This window comes from Homo sapiens, chromosome 16 (assembly GCF_000001405.40).
Source record: "Homo sapiens chromosome 16, GRCh38.p14 Primary Assembly".
Taxonomy (NCBI): Eukaryota; Metazoa; Chordata; class Mammalia; order Primates; family Hominidae; genus Homo; species Homo sapiens.
Genome location: NC_000016.10, coordinates 26,030,808 through 26,054,424, shown reverse-complemented (window position 1 = coordinate 26,054,424; position 23,617 = coordinate 26,030,808). Strand labels below are relative to the sequence as shown.

At 43.6% G+C, this 23,617-nt stretch overlaps 1 protein-coding gene and 1 pseudogene across 1 annotated transcript in view, besides 1 other annotated feature; one reads left to right on the top strand and one right to left on the bottom strand.

The window, feature by feature from the left end:
• Window positions 1-23,617, bottom strand: part of HS3ST4 (heparan sulfate-glucosamine 3-sulfotransferase 4) — a 445,727-nt gene that overhangs the window by 83,261 nt on the left and 338,849 nt on the right. The window lies entirely within an intron of this gene.
• Window positions 9,948-10,129: a silencer, noted in NCBI's record as "fragment chr16:26055617-26055798 (GRCh37/hg19 assembly coordinates)". NCBI's record gives its function as "represses an EF-1alpha promoter that drives an FKBP-Casp9 reporter gene in an ReSE screen in K562 erythroleukemia cells {active_cell/tissue: K562}" and the evidence as "EXISTENCE:reporter gene assay evidence [ECO:0000049][PMID:32094911]".
• Window positions 21,494-22,708, top strand: HMGN2P3 (high mobility group nucleosomal binding domain 2 pseudogene 3; annotated as a pseudogene).

Sequence of the window (23,617 nt, the reverse complement as noted above, 5' to 3'; positions counted from 1 at the left end):
ACTGAGTCAATTGGGAGGGGAAGTTAATTCGAATGGAGGAGAGTTGGCTTTCTTGTGAAAAACAAGGAATCTTAATGCATTCTTCTTCTTCTTCTCTTCTTCTTCTTCTTCTTCCTCCTCCTCCTTCTCTCTCTCTCTCTCTCTCTCTCTCTCTCCCTCTCTCTGTCTCTCTCTCTCCTTCTCATGGAAGTGAGGATACATTATGATGTAAATCCAACCAGTCAGGTATGGTGTTGTGTTTATACCCTGAGGAGATACCCTTCACAAATATTTGTTCCTCTTGCCCAGGGCACCTGGTAGGATTGTCTCCACCTGCTAAATCTCAGGCACGGCCATATGACCTGCTTTGACCAATGACATGTAGGAGGAAGTGACGTGTATCACTCTAAGAGCAGGTGCATTTTCTGCTAAGCTTTCCTTTTCCTTGTCTTTGTGGTGGTAGAAATCTGTGTCACAAGGGAGCCTCCCCTGGTGTAGATCCCTGAATGCCTCTGTGGAGCAGTGCACTTCTGCCGTCACATGATAGGCATGTTTTATGAGTGAGAAATTATTTAAAATTATGGAGATTTTGTGGTGGATGTTACCGCAACCACCACAAAATGGTGGTATTGTTACACTTGCATAAAATATCCACAGTAAATGGTAATACAAGTAACGAATAAGAAAATAAATACTAGACTCTGTTGTATTTTTTATATATATATTGGTAAATCGCATATACATGTTAGAGTCTGTTTTGAGGTTTCCAGGCAAGTTAATTGGGTCCAGAGTGGTGAATATTTGACCAGTGTCATGCACAGGAACATACATGAAAGTCCCAAACCAAAAATCAAGATCTCCTTGTCCCCAGATGATCAGAACCACACTTCCTGAAGTCTTAAATTTGGTCTTCCTGAGAAAGAACAGTCCCCTTCATTCTGAACTTAATTCTGAAATTCTCCATCAGGATGTTATACACATCATCATAGGAACTGCTTTTTTCCTCAGATCTTATTGCTTAAATCTTCTGGAAGTTGCTGTATATTTTTCTCTGTGTGATGTTTTTAGGACATTGGAGGTGCATGCTAAATAATAATTGCAGCAAGTATTAACATTAATTAGCTTTTCCAAGTGCTGTGATAAGCATTCAGAATGACTTATCTCACTTAATTCTTGTAAATTTGGAGACCCTAGACTTCCACCTGCTCTCACAGATCATTATAGAAAGACCACATGGTCATCATTGATTGTTGAGGGGAGCGTCTTATGTATCAGGATTTACATGCAGATGGAAGAGCTGAAAGCATCTCGGGAGAATATCTTTTACAGCTGGGAACTCTGAAGTTTAGAGAGAGGAAAGGGCTTGCCCAAGGTAACACAGCAAACTAGAGACCCAGGACTTACGCTAGGTGCCCTGTCCTGTGGTTTACTTCACTTTTTCCAATAAACTTCATGGAATTGTCTGAAGACAGCTAGCAACATATGTTATGCAAGATGAACAGTGTTAAAGACACTAGACAAAGCAGACATTTAGTAAATTGGAAATCCCCACCTTAAACCGGGAATGATCTCCAGAGATAAAGGTCCCCACATGAGAGCAAAGCAGCACAGAGAGCAAAAAAGAGCACAGAAATATATCCCAGTTCAGAGTCCAAGAAGCATGAGAGTTGGTGAGGACTGTTGAGGGCAAAGCCCTTGGCTCCCTAAAGGTTCTCTGATATGAGGCAGATTCCTAGGAGAAAAGGCAACATCTTCATTTAACATGTATACATGGGAATCAGGTGTGGTAGCTCACGCCTGTAATCCCAGCACTTTGGGAGGCTGAGGCAGGCGGATCACTAGAGGTCAAGAGTTCAAGACCAGCCTGGCCAACATGGTGAAACCTCATCTTTACTAAAAACACAAAAATTAGCCAGGCGTGGTGGTGGGCACTTGTAATCCCAGCTACTCAGGAGGCTGAGGCAGGAGAATCACTTGAACCCAGGAGGCAGAGGTTGCATTGAGCCGAAATTGTGGCACTGCACTCCAGCCTGGGTGACAGAATGAGACTCTGTTGCAAAAGAAAATAATAATAATTAAGAAGTAATAAGAATAACTTTTTTACATTGGAGTATTCAGAATGAAGACTCAAAGATACAGAAGAAGTTGTCCATTTTCATGCTAGATTCAACAAAGGGTAGACAGCCGAGTAGAAATAGGATTGGACAAAAAGGGTCCGATGGAATGCCAATAGACTGAGTGGGGACATGCAGCAAGGCCTCTCTGTCTAGATTTTTCTTGGCCTCTCTGAGCAGTGTTCCTTCCTTCTGGGTGTGGGACACAACCCTCTCTGGAATGGGGATCTTATGATCTATAGTCAATGTAGGTCAGATCATTTCTTTATGGCCATTAGTTTACCCAGCAGGTCAAAATAATATTTTTAGATTTCATGGCTGGCTTTAGGAAAGAGGAGTTCTGGTTTCTATGACCTGTCTTGGGGAAGAGGAAGGAAGGAAGGAAGGAAGGACGGAAGGAAGGAAGGAAGGAAGGAAGGGAGGGAGGGAGGGAGGGAGGGAGGGAGGGAGGCAGGGAGGGAGGCAGGGAAGGAGAAAAGAAAGAGAGAAAGAGACGGGAGGGAGTGAGAATGGAAAGAAAGGGAGAGAGGAAAAAGAAAGAGAGAAAGAAAGAAAGTGTGTGGGGTGGGGAGGAAGGAGGGAAAACAGAAAACAGAGAGGGAGGCAATAAAAGAGATTAGAGAAAGACCAAAAGAGAGGGAGGGAAGATGAGAGGAGGGAGGGAGAGGGAGAGTGGTGGGGCCCTCCGCAGCTGCATGAAATCCTTGCGTGAACACAGGTTCTTGGCCAGAGAGACCAGAGCTCTCGTCCCAACTGTCTTACTTCTGGTCTGTGTGATCTTTGACATATTTAATATCTCTAAGCCTCAGTTTCCCCCTGGGTAAATAAACACAATAATATTGACCACTCAGGGTCTGTTCTGAAGATTAAAAGAGACAATTTGTGAAAAAAAAAAATTATTAGTTTCACTTGCCCTGTGAAGGTGGGCTTCCTGGAATCATGCTCGTCTTTGTCAGGAAAGCTTGTGGGAGGAGGCTGTGTTATCTGTGTGTAGACAGCCCTGAAATCTGCATATGGCTCTTGCAGTTGTCAGTCTCTGCTTGAGGTTTGCAGGGTAATTAAAGGCACAGTAGGCAGGTGTCATTAACTTGTTAACCTAAAGTTTTCTCCCCACTCCCCACCCCCACAGGAAGGGAGATTGCAAATGGGTTTGGAGGAACCAAGTCTGACTTAGAGAGTTTCCTTTCAATTATTTTCCCTGGAGCCTTGCACGCTTGTTGGGCTCATTATTAAAACTCAGGGTCTGCACTGTATTAATCCACCACACCTCTCTGGATGAACACAGAGGGTGCCAGTCTCCTTAAACTCAATGCTCCCTAAAGGAGATCCCCGACCTCCTATCCACGTGGTTCCCTCCATTCCAGCTCCAGGATGCAGACAGTGTTTAACATTTCCAGCTAAATTGCTCAAGTTATGCAATTAGGCCTTCTGAGTAGAAGCTCTATCTTTCATATGCTTCTGGGGGCCATAAAGGCAAGGATTCTCTGAATGGCACTTTTGAAACTCAGAATGTAAGGCTCACGGTAATAACACTGGATGCATGCCTTCACACAACTGGCAGTGCCTTCATACACCTCCGCTCATTTATCACCAGAGCAATATGCATGGGGTATGCCTCTGTCCGCTGGACGCACAAGAATGCTGAGGCTCAAGGAGCTCAAATTGCTCGGCGGAGGGTGCCTGGTTAGTGAGTGGTGCGGAAGGAATCACATGCGAGTCTTTGACCCCTTAGCTGGGACCCTGTCTGTCTTAATCCATGTGGTAGCTGCAGTACTTTCCACAGTGCCTGGCATGTGAAATGTGCTCAATGACTATTTATCATTCGCTATTTGCTTCTGGAGAAACATGAATTCATGCCATTATGTAATTCATACCTAAGAGTGTGTGGACATGTTCAATCCTGTTTATAGAGTGAAAACCAAGGCATATCCAATCCTACTAATTCATCTCAGCTTATGGGATGATTTCAGGGTATGAGGACTGTGACATTGTAAAAAAATACATACATATATATATAGAAAGAGAGAGAGAGAGACAGAGAGAGAGAGTCTTCTACCTCTTCCCTGGCATATGACTCCTAAAATTCTTAGGATCTCCAAAGTGATGTCTTTTTGTATATTAATGAGAGGACTGGTGGCTGGCAGCCCCTAGGTAGCTTCAGGATGGGGCTGGTTACTGGAAAGACCAAAGCAGATTAGAGGGTTGAACTTTCAGCCCCGCTTCCCAGTCTCCAGGGGGGAGAGGGCAGAAGATTAAGTTGATCACCAATGGACAATGGTTTAATCAATTATGCCTACATAATACAGCCTCTTTTAAAACCCAAAGGGCAGGGTTCAGGGGGCTCATGGACAGCTGGACAGGGGGAGGCTCCTGGAGGACGGTGCACCCAGGGAGGGCACGGAAGCTCCTCACTCCTTCCCACATGCTTTGTCCTGTGCGCCTCTTCATCTGTATCCTTTGTAACATCCTTTATAATAAACCAGTAAACCTAAGTATTCTCCTGAGCTCTATGAGCTGCTTCTGCAAATTAATCAAACTTAAAGGAGGGGGTTGTGAGAAGCCCGATTTGTAGCCAACCGGTTAGAGGCACAGGTAAAATGCCCTGGGGCTTGAGCCCAGCCTCAAGCTGTGGAATCTGACGCTATCTCCAGGTAGATGGTGTCAGAATGGAATTGGTGGTCGTGCAGTTGGTGTCCACTGCAGAATTGCTTGCTTGCTTGCTTGCTTGGTGTGTGGGGGAAAATCCACACGTGGGGTCACAGACCTCTTCTGGGTTGACTGTTGTGAGGTAAAAGCAGAGGAAAAACTGTGTTTTTCCGCTCAAGGACACACACATACACACACACACACACACACACACAGAGGCACGCATTCCCCACTGCAACTAGTACAAATGCACGGGCACATCTACTCACAGCCACATCATTCTCCGGATGTAGACCTCCGGATGTAGACCTCCGGATGTAGACCTCCGGATGTAGACCTCCGGATGTAGACCTCCGGACTTCCCAGCAGGTCCACCTTTTTCCTCCCCCCTCACCTTGCCTTCACCCACGGCAGCACTTCCCAGCCTTCTAGCTTTTCATTCCGCCTTCCTAATATGTGTCATTACTTACAGGACTTATTGTGCTTTGTTCAATATTTTCTTTAACTCACTTTTTAAACACATGACTACCTTTAGAAAATAAGGAAATAATAAGATAATAATTATTATGTCAATATCACAAGCAGAAGCCCAGAATCATTTGCCACAAATAAAAGGCAATCATAAAAATTAAATAAGGTGAAAACAAAAGAGTAGTCTCCGATTTTAGCTAGATATCATTATTTCTCAAGGCTTCTTATCTCCGTTTTTTCTCAATAAGGGACATTAACAAAGGGCAGAGAGGTATGACAGACATAGTATGATCAACTAACACATTCTCCTTAAAGAACTGCAAGAAAAATGGAAAGAGAATGACTTTCTTGCTGCGAGATTCAATGTTATTTTTTTACTTTTTAGACAGGGTCTCGCTCTGTCACCCAGGCTAGAGTGTAGTGGTGTGAACATAGCTCACTACAGCCTTGAACTCTTGGGCTCAAGTGATCCTCCCACCTCAGCTTCCCAAGTAGCTGAAATTATAGTTATGCACCACCACACCTGGCTATTTTTTTATTATTATTTTTAATAGAGATGGGGGTCTCACTATGTTGCCCAGGCTGGTCTCAAACTCTCGGGATCCTCTCAAGGCCCAGGATCCTCTCACCTGGGCCTCCCAAAGTGCTGGGATTCTAGGCATGAGCCACTGCACCAAGCCAGGATTCAATGTTGTTGAATGCTGTGTCCTAGTACCACTTAAAACTGTGTCACACATACAACCACACACATATTCAGTGACGCATGTTCCATGCACGGAAATGGTGGCCTAGAGGAAGAATTATGTCCCAATTCCTTTAAGTAACATTCCAAGAGTTGTGCTATATGGTCGACAATCTATCCTTTCTCATGTTGCCACTTGGACCTGCCATTGGCTCTAGACTATTATAGACTGAATTGCTTCCTCCCTAACATTCATTTGTTGAAGTTTGTTCCTACGTTCATTTGTTATGATTGTATTTGGAGATAGGGCCTTTAAAGTGGTAATTAAGTTCAAATGAGGTCATTAGGCTATGCCCTAATTCAATCTGAACAGTGTCCTTACAGAAGAGGAGATGAAGACACAGACACCCAAAGGGAAGAGGATGGAAAGACACAAGGATAAAGCAGCCATCTAACAGCCTGGAGAAAGGTCTCAGGAGATACCAGCCCTGCCGACACCTTGATCTTGGACTTCCAGGCTCTGCAGTGCTGCCACTGCTCAGGTGATTGCCTCACATCTGGTTGGAGCAGGAGTCATGCCTCTCCTCAAGCATTGCTCTGAGTGCCCTCATCATCAGACATTTTCAAACCAGGCACAAAAGTAGAAATTCCACTTTTGCCCAAATCCTGCAGTCTCTGTTACACCGCTCATGGTCCATCATCACCACCTTCTACCTTTGGCTTCTCATCATGAACTTCTTGAGTCCAAGGTCCAGTTCTTACTCATATAAAAGGAGTTCAGCAAATGCATCTTCGTTAAGATTGAATTAAGTACAAGGAATTAAAATGAACTGACTGGAAACTGAAGGAAGTGAGTAATAGCTGAGAAAACAGGGCTTTGGAGACGAGATCACGGCTTGCATTCTGCCTTTTTCATTTACTAGCTGTGTGACCTGGATGACTTCTTAAGCACTCTGAGCTCTCATCTTCTCACCTGGAAAGCAGGGTTGATAACAGCATCCTTCAAGGTTGTTTTAAGGATTAAACTAGATAAGGGAGACTTCCTGGGCAAGACACCAACTGACAAATGACTAGCTTCCCTTTCCACCAACTTCCCACTGGAATATTCATGAACATATACACACACCAATAAATGAAAGGTTGCTACAGTCTTGGGAACAAAAAAATATTGATCGAAATCTTCTGGGCCCTCAAGGAATTTTCACTAACCAAAGAAGGGAAGAGTCCTTGATGCAGAAAAATAAAGCCAGGCACTTCTGCTACAACTTCTGACCTACAGGGGCTTAGAGATGAGTACCCTGTGCCAGCCAGAGGCAGGAAGCCTTCCCCATCATGCAAGAACTCTGTTAGGAGGTGCTCATGGCAACTTAGCCCTCCATTCCTCTAATTAGCCAATGAGTACTTCCTACACTTATGCAGGACTATGATGCCCAGTTGTGGAACACAGCAATCATGTATTATTTTAAGCAGGAAAGCACAGAAACAGGTAAATCAAGGCAGCTATAGCTTTTTACTCTTTTTTTTTATTTTGCAAGAAAGGAATGAAGAGGAAACATATTGTACTAGTTAACAGCACAGACTTCAGCACCAGTTTGCTTACATTTGAATTTTGACTTAGACACTTACTAGTTGTGCGATGTTGGATGAATTAAAGTGACTCATTTCTGCATCTGTCAAATGGGAATACTAACAGTACCAATCTCAGAGGGTTACTGTGCAGATTAAATGAATGTAAAAGGCTTTGGAACAGTGCCTAGCACCCCAGTAAGTATTGTGTAATGTTTACACACATACACACACACACATATATATATATATACACATATATACATATATAAATTTCTCTACATGAAGCTGAGATAGGAAAATCCTCCTGAGTCTTAAAGAGCCACACTGGCTAAACATCTTCCAAGATGCCAAAAATCTGATTCAGGGTGGTGAATATCACTGACATAAGAAACAGGTTCTAACAGCAATCAGAAGTGAAGTGAAGGGTCCACAGGTAAATAAAGAAGGGAAATAAAGATGGATCTACAGACACTAACATGGACAAACAGCAGGACTGAATAAAACTTTTTCCTGGGCCGGGTACCGTGGCTCATGCCTGTAATCCCAGCACTTTGGGAAGCCGAGACAGGTGGATGGCCTGAAGTCAAGAGTTCGGGACCAGCCTGGCCAACATGGTAAAAACCTGTCTCTACTAAAAACACAAAAATTAGCTGGGCGTGGTGGCAAGTGCCTGTCATCCCAGCTACTCAGGAGGCTGAGACAGGAGAATCGCTTGAACCTGGGAGGCAGAGGTTGCAGTGAGCCGAGATCACGCCATTGCACTCCAGCCTGGGCGATAGAGCGATACTCTGTCTCAAAAAAAAAAAAAAAAAAAAAAATTTCCTGTCCTTACATGAGGAAATATAAGCACAGCCAAAACTTGTGCAGCAAGAAAGAAGGCTATAGAAATCATAAAACACAGGTAGAATATGCCTATGGAGAAGATACTATAGGCAACAAGAGTAATTTTTTGAAAGCAAATGTTTTATGGTCTCCATAAAGTTTCAAAAATGTAATTTCGATGTAATGTAAAATAAAGCTGAAATGATAAAAAATGAACTGAAATGAATAAATGGTTGGTTGTGGTAAGCTAGATTGTGTAGAGAACAAAATAAAATAAAGAGAGTTAAAATATGCATTAAATGTGGTCAAGGAAAAGGTCAGCTTCAAACCATAAAAATATAATCCATGTGAGAGAGAACTTGGGATGTTATAAAAGTGCAGGAAAACAGTAAAGAAGATGACAATGTCAAGAGAGATGGAAAATTCGTGAACAATAGTTGTTCTAAAGAAGGTGTCGGATGTACCAAAAAAATCAGCCATCAAGGGCTTAGGAAGAGTGAGTAGTGAACAAGATAGACACGGTGCCCACATTAGCAGAGCTCAGATCTAGTGTGGAGAATCCTGGGAATCAGGTAAAATCCACCAGTGTGGACAGTCTACACTGGTGAGCCTGCTCATTTTCTGCCTTCTTATGTACTGCGAGTTCTAGTGCTACATTCAACTAAATTAGTATTTCCCAAACCGAATCCCAAGGGATAATGTTTTCAATATGTTCTGGCTCTTCTGGGTAAAAGCAGTTCTTCGGTCAAATAAGTACAGGCAAGAATATATTAAACTAAACTAAAGAAGAATTCTTTACCCCAGAACATTAATGCTAAGATGCATTATGAATTCCAAAGTCAGTGATATCATGCTGCCTTTTTAAATTCAGAAAGGGTAGAGGTCATTTTTTTTCTGATACTTTTCACCATGATGCTACCCCCTGCCTTTCTTTTTCATCTCTTGTAACAGCTACTGACATCTCTCAGACACAGCTGAGAAATGCCACGGTAGACCCTGAGCAAGCAAATGCCAGGATCGTAATATGTCAGGCTCTCTAGTTGTGTTCTTAGTGCTGCACCCACAGCCTTTAGAGCAGGTTGATATACAAATTACACAGCCGCATGGGCTCTCAGTGTCTTTTGCAGGATCATGGTTGCACAGACGGCAGTCAGTCTCCCAGGAGAGCGTTGAGATTTGTAGACTGGTCAGCAATCAATCCTGTCCAGGGTCTTAAGTGTCTCAGTTTACCTTCCCTGCCACTCTGGTGCCGGTGACCACAGGACATAATAAAGCTCTCGGTCCCAGCTTCCATCAGGTTGTATCCTTCAATGGGACATGGATGATTGACACTATGGTCCTGCAACATTACATCTGCCTGAGCAAGCAGCCTACTTCCTACCAGAATCCAAGCATCATCCCAACCTGCAGATGCCCCTGCCTGGCCCCATCCAGTGGACTAGACTCCTGGAATGTTGAAATGGATATGTATCCCTAGCTTGCCCATCCCTAATCTAGATCCCTCCTATTTTTTTTTAACTTACATTTACCATGTAATTAACAAGAGATACAATAAAGGAAAGGGAGGAATAGCCAGATGAAAAGATGCATGGGGCAAGGTCTGGAAAAGACCCAAGTGCAGGAGCTTCCATCCCCATGGAGTTGGGGTGCATAACCCTGGCACTCAGATGTGTTCACCAACCCAGAAGCTCCGCCAACCTTCATAGTTCAGGGATTTTTGTAAAGGCTCCATCACATAGGAAAGATCAATGATTAATTCCACTACCAGCCCTTCTCCCCTCTCCAGAGAATGGGGGTGTGGGGCTGAAAACTCCACGGCTTCCGTCTTTTCCTCCTCCCTCTCTCTTCCTGCGCAATGGTCCCTTGGCTACTCCTTGAAGCTCTTGCAGAATCAAGTAACAGCTCTGATGAAAGATTTGTCAATGGAGAAATTGGACTCACCAGAAGTACAAACATGAGGCTTAAAGCCACCACTGGGTTTCTTTATCCACACGACGCAGTGAACCCAGTATTCCAAAACAAAGCAGAAAATTCTGAGACCAGACAGCCTGGGTTGGGATTCCACCAACACCACTTACCAGCTGTGTGATTTGTGGCTATTTGTCAAACTTCTCTGTGCTTCAATTTCCTATGCTGCAAAATATGGCTAGTAATGATTCAGGGAGGATCCTAGCTGAAGACAGTGAAACTGGTTAAGAGGTTCTTGCATTCATCCAGATAAATGCTAGTAAGGGCCTGGGCTGAGGTAGTGGCAGGGAGAATGAAGAGGGGGAGGCAGAATTTGAAAGTTACTTGGGAGGGCGAATGGCACAATTTGGGGACCAATTAATCATGGAAGGCGGGGGTACAAGAAGGGCAGGGGTTTAAAGTACAGCTTCTCAATTTTTTACTAGCATAGCGGAGTGGATGTGGATGCTGTTAACCAAGCCAGTTCATAAGGGAAGATTGTAATTGCTGCGCGTGTTTCAGAGAGTCTCCCTGGTAATAATGATCTCTTTTCCTTCTCATCATTACACTGTGGTTACAATTCTCACATGAGGAAGCTGTGTCTGATACCCGACATCTGGGACCTCACTTAATCCTCACTAGAACGTCATGATGTGAATGTCTTCCTATTATTCCTATAATGTAACAGTCACTGAGCCTCAGAGAGGTAAAGCAACTTGCCCCAGATCACACAGCAGCTAGGCTGGGATTTCAACCCAAGAAGATTGGCTTCCCCATGCTATTAGCCTTCCAGTATTAAACACCATCTTCAAATAACTCTACCAGAGAGGAGAGGTATGAGAGATTTCATCATCCATGCAATCCTCCCGCATGAAAGGGTTCAGATTCTTCTACCTAATTTTTTATTTGAAACCCTCCATAAATAGATTGTAGAATTTGTCCTAGCTATTGTAAAGTTGCTTTACCATACCATGCACTTGTCACAGCTGCTTTTCAAATCTCTGTGTGTGCATTATGCTTGCACTGTGCAGTTTCAATGTCTAATTACAATGTTGAAAGCTACTACACGCACAGGTAGGTAGGTATATAGATATTGAGAACACACAGCAATACCATTTTAACATAAAAGTGCTTGTGCTTTAGAAGAAGAATAGCAACTTTTTAACTCTTGGGTACTATTTGTTTTGCTGATAGCTGAGTGAAATTGGGGGGTGTTAGAAAGCTGTGAATAATGTTTAATATTAATATTATAGGTTACCGGGGAAAAGGGATTTATAGTGTAAAATGATACTGCCAAAATCCAGCAAAAGGCTGAAAGTTCAAACCACTCTAAATATTGATTTGACTCAATTGTGCATTTTAAAACATTCCTCTTTCCCAAGAGAAGAGTCATTCCTGAGGAAAATTGTGAAAATGGAATGTAAAAAGGAGAGAGAACAAAAAGTCACACTGCAGATCTACACTGAACAGTTTGCTTTCATCTTTTGGGAAATTTATTTCCATCTCCCAAAACAGAAAGCTGCAAATAATGATTCTCCTGATGCAACCATCCCAGTTGGATCATGTTAAAAAGCTTTTAGGAGGAAAACAGTAAGTAAATTCAACTGTTCAGATGCATTTGGATGTAATCCTAAAGCGGTAGCCCGGGTAATCGCCACGCCATCAACAACTAAAAGGATTGTGACTATTAGATGTGGACAACAGAGAAATAATGGATGTTAAAGAGGAAAACAGAAATGATTGCATTCAACCGCCACATAGCTTTAAAGCTGATGACAGGAGAATGGACGCTCCATTTTACAACTGCTGAAACACACACACACACACACACACACACACAGAGATAAATGCCAGCATCAGTTTTATTATGTAGGTGGTTAAACAGCCACTTTCTTTTTCAATATTCTGAAATAGACAAGGACTTTGGTCTTTGACTAATTTCAGAGTTAAAGAGAAGGGATAGCTTTCTTTCTTCTCTGTCAACATTCAGTCTGGGAGGGTTTGATGCTGGGGCGTGAAAGGTTTCAGAACGCTGGAGGCAGGATGCTGGAACATAAGGCAGGCGGGGGGCACAGAATGCCTATCTGTGATCTTAAAGGATTTTTGAATAAGAGCCAGTTCTGCTTCTTCAGCCAAGCTTTTGCTGCTTGCCAGGAACAATTATGCATCAGTAGATCAGTGATTCTTCCAGTGTGGTCCATAAGGTCTACTACCTACATCTTAATGACCTGCATTATAATGCAGACTCCCAGGCCCAGACCCACTGAAGCAGACTCTCCCGAGATCGGGCAAGGATTCTTAAGCCATCATCCATGGAGAATGACCATGATGCTTAATGTGATCAGAGATCATGGTTTGACTGGGACAGTCCTAAATTGCAGGCTTGTTAAAGTATTATGATAGAAACTCTTGGGTGCTATTGGCTCAGAGGCCAATATTGCAGTCCATGGGCCCAATGTGGCTGCCATTTGTTTTTGTGAATAAGGTTTTATTGAAACACAACCACACTCATTTTTTTTTCTATGTCTCGACAGCCAAGTTGAGTAGTTGCCACAGAGACTTCACGGCCTGCAAAATCTAAAATATTTACTATCAGGCCTTTCACAGAAAAAGTTTCCGTACTTCTGATGTAGACCAATGGCTCCCATTATTTCAGTGCATCAGAATCACCTACAGGATTTCAGGGTTTTGTTTTGTTTGTTCGTTTTTTAATGTTACTTCTCCAGACCCATTCCCTGAGATTCTGAATCGATTGGCCTAGAGTAGGGCTGGAACAAAGGAATCTTTTAAAATAATGTTTATGTAATTCTATTTTGAAAATTTTATTATTATTATTATCATTATTATTATTTTTAAAGACATAGCCTCACTCTGTTGCCCAAGCTGGAGTGCAGTGCATGATCATAGCTCACTGCAGCCTTGACTCTTAGGTTCAATCGATCCTCCCACCTCAGCCTCCGGAGCAGCTGGGACCACAGGCATGCACCACCACACCTGGGTGATTTTTTAAAAATGCTTTTATAGAGACGAGGTCTCACTGTGTTGCCCAGACTGGTCTCAAACTCCTGGTCTCAAGTGATCCTCCCACCTCAGCCTCACCAAATAGTGGGATTATAAGCATGAATCACCATGCCTAGCCTGTTTAGGTGATTCCAACGTGTAGCCAGGATGAAGACCATAGCTGTGAAGGAGAAGCACTAGCTTCATAAGCTCACCTCCCCAGAGCTGAGTGTGCTCAGTGTACTTGGACAGCCTAGGTAGTTTCCATCTCGGCTGCTTATCTGCAAAACAGAGATATCAATAGTGACCATGTTGGGTGAGGTAATATGAAAATTAGGGAGATGGATGCATACCTCTTAAGGCAGTGCTTAGCATACAGGAAGTATAAATGAATAGTGATGATGATGAAGATGACAGTGACAACTATGTTAAGGGTAATACTTATGACTTCCATAACACAACTGAATAAACATTCATTAAGCACCAGCTGTGTGTCCTGGAAGGGAGAACCTGAGGTTAATGTGATGAACACCCCACAAGTGTTCACAGTCAAGTAAGACAAGCAGAGACATAGAAACATACTGACAGCAGGCCGAATGCGGTGGCTCACCCCTGTAATCCCTGCACTTTGGGAGGCTGAGGCGGGTGGATCACCTGAGGTCAGGAGCTGGAGACCACCCTGGCCAACATGATGAAACCCCATCTCTACTAAAAATACAAAAAATTAGCTGGGCGTGTTGGCATGCGCCTGTAATCCCAGCTACTCAGGAGGCTGAGGCAGGAGAATCCCTTGAACACAGTAAGCAGATGTTGCAGTGAGAAGCGATCATGCCACTGCGCTCCAGCCTGGGCAACAAGAGACAAGAGTGAAACTCCGTCTCAAAAAAAAAAAAAAAAAGAAAGAAAGATACTGACAGCAATAGGAAAGAAAAATGAGCCTCCAAATATGGACAGACAAGTCAAAGGGGGAGAGAATCTAATTTCCAGTAAATAGACACAAACATGTCCAACTTCAGTAATAATCAGAGAAATAAAAAATAAAACTTAAATGAGATATTTTATCCCAGTAAATATGCAGACAGTAAAAACACTGGAAATATTGTGCGTTCATGCGAAGTGTTGTTTCTGCAGGCTTTTTAGAGGGCAAATTGGTAGATTAAAATCTGTACTCTTTTCAGATCCTCCATTTCCCATTTAGGTGTCTAGTCTACAGAAATATGTCTGCACTGAGAGACTGGTATAAGAACATTCACTGAGGCATTGTTGCAATAATGAAAACCATCTAAGTATCTATAAGATGGAGAATGGCTGACAAAATCGCCATGCAATTCTATGTAATTCAATGCGGAAGTTTTTCGAAATGGAGAATATATACAGGTATAAAATGTCCATGAGTTGAATTGAACCCATGGACATAAGAGAGTAGAAGGATGGCTACCAGAGGATAGGAAGGGTAGTGAAAGGGTGGGGGGAGGTGGAGATGCTTAATGAGTACAAAAAAATAGAATGAATAAGACCTACTATTTTATAGAATGACAGGGTGATTCTAGTCAATAATAACTTAATTGTATATTTCATAATTAAAATAGTGTAATTGGATTGTTTGTAACACAAAGGATAAATGATTGAGGGAAAGGATACCCCATTCTCCCTGATGTGGTTATTGCACATTGCATGCCTGTTTCAAAACATCTCATGCATACCACAAATATATACACCCACTATGTACCCACATAAAATAAAAATAAAATAAAATAAAATGGACAGTTGTCCAAAGTATTTCATGGAGAAGCTGCAAATACTAATAGAAAATGTATATATAAAAAAGCACACATACACACACTCAAAACAAAACTTCACATTTTTATTTCTATATATGTATGTAAATTCCCAGGCAAGATTCCTTCTGGGAAGGAAAGATAGATTTAGAGTGTAATAGACATCTTCACTTTACCTATATTTAATAATGTGAATGTATTCATGTACTTCTTATATACATTTTTGAAAAAACAGGACAGTAATTTAATAGGGTGAGCATTATTATAGAAGTGTATGTAAAATATGATGGCAGTACCCAAAAGAAGGTGTAGAATTCTGCTGGGGTGAGATGGACAAAAAGTGATGTCAGATGGAGATAAAGTAAAAAGTGTTGCCTTATCTCTGATGTCACCGAGATCAGGCAACACTGAGCTAGACCTTGAAGGAAGAACCAGGCTGGGTGCAGTGGCTCATGCCTGTAATCCCAGCACTTTGGGAGGCTGAGGTGGGTGGATCACGAGGTCAGGAGATCGAGACCATCCTGGCTAACACAGTGAAACCCCGTCTCTACTAAAAATACAAAGAATTAGCCGGGCGTGGTGGCAGATGACTGTAGTCCCAGCTACTCGGGAGGCTGAGGCAGGAGAATGGCATGAACCCGGGAGGCGGAGCTTGCAGTGAGCCGAGATCGCACCACTGCACTCCAGCCTGGACAATTTTGAGAGCCAGACTCCATCTCAAAAATAAATACATACATACATACATACATACATACATACATAATTAAAAAAAAAATAGAACCATTGGAGAAGTGGATGCGATGCTGTCATCCTAGGTAGAGAGGGCCCATGAGCAGAGGCTCAGGGGTGTGGGCATGTAGGCATTCATTTACTCAACATTAGGGCAATGCCTAGTCTGAGACTCTGAGTTCAGGACCCTTCTAGGTGCTTGCAGTACAGGTGTGGGGGCTATAGGCTCAGGTGCTGGGGCTATAGTGGGGAAACAGACACAGGTTTCCTTGTGATTTTATTCTAGTCTGTCTAGATAGGCAGTATACAAATCAACAAGTAAATGCACCGTGTGATGACAAGTGTTATTGGGGACAATAATGTAGGGAAGGTGGAAGGAAAATGCTGCTTGGGAATAGAGTTCTCCCTTTTTAGTTGAGTCAGAGAAGGCATCATCAGTGGAGAGTTGAAGGACCTGAGAACTCACCACAGGGGCAATCGGGGAAGAGCATTCCAGGCACTGGGATGGCAGATCCAGAGGGCTGAGCTTGACGTCGCTGAGGGACAATGAGGAGGACCATGTGGATGGAGCAGAGGAAGCCACAGGAGAGTGGCAAGAGAGGGGTTATAGAGTGAGTGGGGCTGGGATACATCCATATCATGTAAGGTTTTGGGAAATACACGAAGGACTTTTACTCTTCTGAGAGACAGGGGGAGTCATTGGAGGCTTTTGACCCGGCAAGTGGCCTGATCTGTTATATGCTTTGAAAGATCCCTCTGGCTACTCTGCTGAGAAAAGACCCTAGAGGCAAGACTGGAAGCACTGGGGCAATTGAACACATGGGGGCCAGCTCACCAGATCTGAGAAAACAGCATGTCAGCATCATGTGGGCCACTCTTGTGCCCTTTCTTTAAGTAGCGGCACCCTAATTTCCTTTGACAGACCCATCTAGCACATTTGCAGGGGCCAGGGTAATGGCACCAATGAAAGGAAATATACCACATACCTAGGTACCTGAAAATTATAAAGCAATCCAACAAACTGCTCAGTGAAACATATACTCTCCTCCTATGTTCATAATGGCCTGGAAGGTCAAGTTTAGATTTAGAATCCTCTATTTCTCAGATTTATTTGCCAATATTGGCAGCATGGGAAGAGCTGGCTCCTAGCTTATGGTTCTTAAATCCCAACCCTCTGTCTGCCCTCCACTTCTCTTCCTACTCCCAGTTCTATCTCTTACTCTGAGTTGCTTTTTCCGAGTGTGTGAGTACAACACAACACTCACACTGAAGATCAGTGGACCACAGGCTCTATATTCCTTAAACATTGGCACACAATCTCTCCTTAGGAGAAGAGATCCAAGAAAGAGGCAACTTGGGCAGAGAAGTCTGGAGTCTCTGCAAGCAACATGAAGGTCCAGAGGGAGGGTTCAGGTCCTGGAAGGTATGTGCCCTTGGCCTGTGGCCTCCTTATCTCATGGAAAGGCACGTAGCAGGTGAAGGACTAGAGTGGAGACCTCTTAAGGTATATGGCATGAGGCAAGGATGCTCCATGCATGGGCTTAAGAATGGCGCTGTTCTTTCTACCCAAGTAGGCTGAGCTTAGATCATTGCCTTTTACCCAAGGGAAGTGAGATACCTTGATTGGTACCCACACCAAAAGTCACACAATGGGAGGGTTCTTATTAATTTAAGTCATGGAGGGGTTGAAGGAAAAGTCTTGGAGCTGGTTCATGTTGGTCACCAGGTCTTAAAGACATTGTTTCTTCATTCCTGTTTCCTGGATTCCTGTCCAGTTCTTGGTTCCAGTTCTTTCTCAGCACCTCTTTGTTCAGTTTTTCCTTACATCCTATGAGCTCTTTCCAATGCATTCTTTTTAAGGCTTTCCTTTTGTTCTAGATAGTTTCTGTGTCTGCAGCAAAGAAACCCTCCAAGATACAGATTATGTTACAAAGAATTTTATATGCCACATTTGAGCACCTGAACTTCAGTCTGCAGAAAACTGGAAGCTTTTAAACAGGGGGGTGACCTGGCTTGATTGTTTAATATCTCTGGAGAGACATGGGAGATGGAATGCATAGGAAAAAAAGTACATCTAATCTTCCTTTCTCTCCCAGAACTTCAATCAGTGGCTTAAATGGAGGCATCCATTATAAGGTAAAGTTGAACTTCAAGAAAGAAAGAACAAAAATCCAGGGCAGGTGGGTGAGAAAAACACCAGGAGATCTGATACAGACAAATGAGCTCAATTTCAGGCAAGACAAACAATCAAGGCTGGATCCCAGGAAATACAGATTGGGCAGGGTCACGTCTAACCCTAGTTCAGTTCTAGAAGGCATTATTCACAGATGGTTTTTGAGCAGGGAGAAACCAACAGAAATTCATTATGACCAAGTCATGCCAAACTCCTGTCAGCCCCAGCTTCCCCCAATCCATGAATAGACATGCTTCAGCTGCAGTGTGTATATTGAGTGCCTTGGCCTCACCAGCCAGTGTTATCTTAATGGGGCTGAAATAAAGTTGGTACACATGTCCTGATTCCACTTAGTTGTAGCTTTTCTATAACTATAACTTTACCTGGCCTCCCAGTCTCTTGCTAAACTCAATATCTCAGCCCACCTGTATAGGTCCTTGAACAACTGTTTATTCCTTGTAAGGTTTTCCATTGAGAGGCTGCTTCTCTTGGAGAGAGAGACTTTCAGTGAACACCTGCTGTCTTTACCTACCCAGTATCCACACCTCTTATGCAGATAACAGCCCTGTATTTGGCTTTGAGAAAGGACTCTTCCTGCACTCATAGTTCACATAATTAGTCATGGGGAGTTGACTTGACTTTCAGCTCCAAGGTGTCATCTTTATCATAGGAACAAGGAGATACCACTAAGAGTTTTAAGTATGTACCCAGGAACACAGAGTCAATGGCAGGATAATGTGATCAGCTGCGCATTTGGAAAACATTCCTCTGGCTGCAGTGAGGGAGAGATTGCATGTGAGAAGACCAACTGGGATACTCTTGAGAGTTCTGATGAAAGAAATGGGATTTTAAACTAGGGTATTGGCAGGAGATAGAAGAGAAGTAGACAGACTCAAGTGACTTTTAAAATTACAATCAATAGGTGAGTGGTTAATTATATATGGGAGACTGAGGGAGAAAGAAAAGATTCCTAAGTTTGTGCTTTGTGCAAAAGAATGGATATTGTTGACTTCACCAATAGAGGTAGCTCTGAAAGAGAACCAGCTTTAGCAAAGGGATTTGTGAAGAGCACAGCTTCAGTTTGGGATATTTTGAAACATCTAGGAGGAAGTATTTAGAGGCAGTTGGATGTAAAAATATGGAACACTGAGGATGTGTCTGGGCTGGAGAAGTTAATTTGCCAGTCCATGAGTAGATGATAACTCTGAAGTCAAAAACGTACAAAATATAAGTGAGAGGAGAAGAAAGAGGTGGAGACCAAGCAAATAATGACCACCTCTGTGTTTCCTTTGACAACTGTCTCTTTCCACTTCACAATTACAACATTGGTATTCTTCCTTCTGAGAATGTACCCACTCATGGCATGTTCTTACCTAAACCGAATTTTACCACTGCTAATTTCTGGAGATTGTGATTTGAGTTCATTAAAATTGTTCACAGCACAGTTATATCAATGTCTTGCACAGAGATGGCCAAAGAGATATGGGCAGATGATGAGGTCAAAATCAGTTTTTTGTTTCTTTCTTCTTTTTTCAGATGGGATCTCACTCTGTTGCTCAGCTGGAGTGCAGTGGGGTGATCATGGCTCACTGCAAGATCTGCCTCCTGGGCTCAAATGATCCTCCCACCTCACCTTCCCAAGTAGCTGGGACTACAGGTGCACACCACCACACCCAGCTAATTATTTATTTACTTATTTATTTATGTTTGTAGTTATGGAGTCTTGCTATGTTGCCCAGGCTGGTCTTGAACTCACGTCAGTTTTTTTTTTAATAGGCTTTCCTTATGAAGACACCAAACATCTGTAATCCAAAATCCTCACTCCATGCTGGTGAGACCCCCCCCCGCCCCTGCTATTTAATGGAGCACCTCCAGTTTTAGGGATTACACATTAGCACAGAAATGGATGAACTAGAATATGTCTTTTGGACAAGGGTCCAGGACAGAGAGCAACCTGGAAGCCATGTAGAATGGGGAAAATGGTAATTTGGGGTATTCTCAAGAGGTCTGGAAAGAGAAGGGAAAGCCGACTTTCTCTGTATGGCACATAGCATAAGAGCAGGATCCATGACTTGCACCCTATCAGGCCAGCACAGGCCTAGCATAAAGTGGGCTTCAGTCGCTGTGTACTGAATGACTGACTATAGATGATGGTGAATGTAAGGTGCTGTGGTCAGGCTTCGGTGGTAGATGCTGAAGAGGCCATTCAGGCATCCACACTTACAGCTCCCTTAAATGCTGCCTGGGTCACTGGGCATCTGCACTGAGAACCCACCATACTCTTGCCCTGATATTGTGATGCCCATTAGCCTGCCCTCATCCAGTCGCTCCCTTGCTCTGTCCTCCTTCCAGGAACCTATGGATGTCAGAGCCTGAGAGCAGAGACTCCAGGAAGATCCTGGAGAAAAAGCAATCAGAGGTGAGACTCTCTCATTTATTGCAGTACACATTGACTTTCCTGGGGTCACCTAGGGCCTGAAACCTGATCATGGAATTTGGGATTGCAGATTGTGGAGGCGTGGACTGGGAGAATATTTGTTAAGCAATACTATATGCAAAGTGTTCTCTTACCAACCACATTTCCTTTCTTTGTTCACATAATCCTGACTACACCGCAGCCTTCATACTATCTTTGATTGGAGATGAGGCTCAGATGAGTCTCTTGAGGCTCAGAGAGGCTAGGATCGCCCAGCTTGCAAGCAACGCAGCATGAAGTGAAATCCAAGCCTGCTCAATTCTACAGTCTGTTTGCTTCCTTCCTTCCCTTCTTTCTGTCTTTCTGTCCGTCTTTCTTTCTCAAGGTCTCGCTCTGTTGCCCAGGCTGGAGCGCAGTGGTGTGATCATGGCTCACTGCAGCCCCAAACTTCTGTGCTCAAGCGAGCTTCCCACCTCAGCCTCAGGAGTAGCTGGAATTACAAAGTGCACCATCACACCCAGCTAATATATATTTTGTTTTTGTTTTGTTTTGTTTTGTTTTGTTTTCCTTTTTTTTTTTTTTTTGAGACAGAGTCTCACACAGTCACCCATGCTGGAGTGCAGTGGTGTGATCTCAGCTCACTGCAATCTCCGCCTCCCAGGTTCAAGCAATTCTCCTGCCTCAGCCTCCCAAGTAGCTGGGATTACAGGCTTCCACCACCAGGCCCAGCTGATTTTTGTATTTTAGTAGAGACAGGGTTTCACCATGTTGGCCAGGCTGGTCTTGAACTCCTGACCTCAGGTGATCTGCCTGCCTTGGCCTCCCAAAATGCTGGGATTACAGGCGTGACCCACCATGCCCAGCCTGCTAATATACATTTTGTTAGAAATGGGAACTGTGCTATGTTGCCCAGGCTGGTCTCGAACTCCTGAGCTCAAGCAGTCCTCCTACCATGGCCTCCCAAAATTCTGGGATTACAGGTGTAAGCCACTGCACCCGGCCACCTGTGTTCTTTCCACTTAATTTCGCAGTCTGTCGTTCAGGTCTTAATGAATGGGTCCCACCTCGTATATACCCTCCCATGGATGTAAAGAAATGCCTGAGCTAGGGCCACTTTTTCCTAATTTACTGTAAGAATACTTTGGGCCTGAATCTAAATCAGTCTTAAAACACGCCTCCGGAGCAGTGTGAAGAAGAGGCGAGAACGACCCCCAGACCGACCAAAGCCCGCGCGCCACTGCATCCCGCGTCCAGCACCTACGTCCTGCTGCCGTCGCCGCCACCACCATGCCCAAGAGAAAGGCTGAAGGGGATGCTAAGGGAGATAAAGCCAAGGTGAAGGACGAACCACAGAGAAGATCCGCGAGGTTGTCTGCTAAACCTGCTCCTCCAAAGCCAGAGCCCAAGACTAAAAAGGCCCCTGCAAAGAAGGGAGAGAAGGTACCCAAAGGGAAAAAGGGAAAAGCTGATGCTGGCAAGGAGGGGAATAACCCTGCAGAAAATGGAGATGCCAAAACAGACCAGGCACAGAAAGCTGAAGGTGCTGGAGATGCCAAGTGAAGTGTGTGCATTTTTGATAACTGTGTACTTCTGGTGACTGTACAGTTTGGAATACTATTTTTTATCAAGTTTTATAAAAATGTGGAATTTTGTTTTACTTTTTTTTTTTTTTAAAGCTATGTTGTTAGCACACAGAACACTTCATTGTTGTTTTTGGGGGAAGGGGCATATGTCACTAATAGAATGTCTCCAAAGCTGGATTGATGTGGAGAAAACACCTTTCCCTTCTAGTTTTGAGAGACTTCCTCTTGGCTCCCAGGAGGAGGGATTCCCTGACTTTGACACACATGGCCACCTTGGCACAAAAGCCTTGTGGTATAGAAAGACAAATTTGTTTTTATGTCCTCTTCTCCCTTTCCATCTTTCAGCATAGACTTAACTCCCTTAAGCCCAGACATCTGTTGGGACCTGACCCCTAGTCATTGGTTACCAGTGTGTCAGGCAATCTGGACTTTCCAGTGATGCCACTGAGATGGCACCTGTCAAAAGAGCAGTGGTTCCATTTCTAGATTGTGGATCTTCAGATAAATTCTGCCATTTTCATTTCACTTCCTGAAAGTCAGAGATGGCTTGTGAAAAGTTGTTAAACACCATGCTAAATGTGAAATGTCAACCCTCACTCTAAACTTTCCCTGTTCAGAGCATCAGATGAAGACTTCATTGGGTTTTATAGTGGCTTTCTGATTTTTGGTAGTCCATTGAAGAAGGGAGTTTGAAAGTTGTTGTATACTGTTAACGATTGTCTGCCCATGTCCTGCCTGAAATACCATGATTGTTTATGGAAAGTATCTTTAATAAAGCTGGATACAGTTTGGCTTGGAAAAAAAAAAAAAACACGCCTCCATCTTTCTGCTGGGCCCTGTGGCCGGTGCGTCGGGCCAGAGGCTCCTATTGACATGCTTTCTAAATGATCCTTCTTCCCTTTTGGTTTTTAATTTGGGGCCAATTTGCGCCTCTCTGCTTGATTAGGATCTAACACTCGCCTAGTCAAAATAAGTGCAACGATAATCAAGCTTGCCTTTGGAGTGGAGTGGAGTGTGTTTCAGTGTGTGCCAGCTTTTCCCAGCTCCCTCCCTGGCTGGAATACAAATGTCCTCCTAGAACAAGCTAAGTTATACAAGGATTTTAAGCTTATTCCAATAGAAATGAGTCAGATTCGGGAGCCTCGTCCCGGCCCACAGGAGGGTGAGCTGGGACCATCCCTGGTGCCACATTTCTGGGAGCTGCTGAATGATCTGTATCCATCTCTTTCTCTGGTTCTTCCCGGGGCGGGGAGTGGCGGGGCCCTGTGCCTGGGTTTCCGCTTCAGCTCCTCTGCTCACTCTTGCTATCTAAAATCACTTCCCAATCCCAGCAACATGCCCAAGGCAGGTAGTCCCGCTCTGAATGGGACTGGTTTGGCTGGACCCACAGCTACCTCAATAACATCCATAGCCATGGTTTTACCCAGTGTCTGCTCTGTAGATACTCATCGCCACACTAGGTACTTTACATAAATCTAATACTTTCATTCTCTCAACAATTCTATCCTTCACAAATACTTCTTTTGCATGTCCTACGTGCTAGGCACTGTCTGAGGAATGCAGCAGTGAATAAAGCAGGCAAAACCCCCTGCTTTTATGGAGTTCATGTTCTTTGGTGGAGAAAGCACCTCTTTAAACAGGCACTATTATCTTCTTTTTAAAGGGGAAAAATAAGGCTTAAAGAGTTTTCATAACTTGGAATCTGACA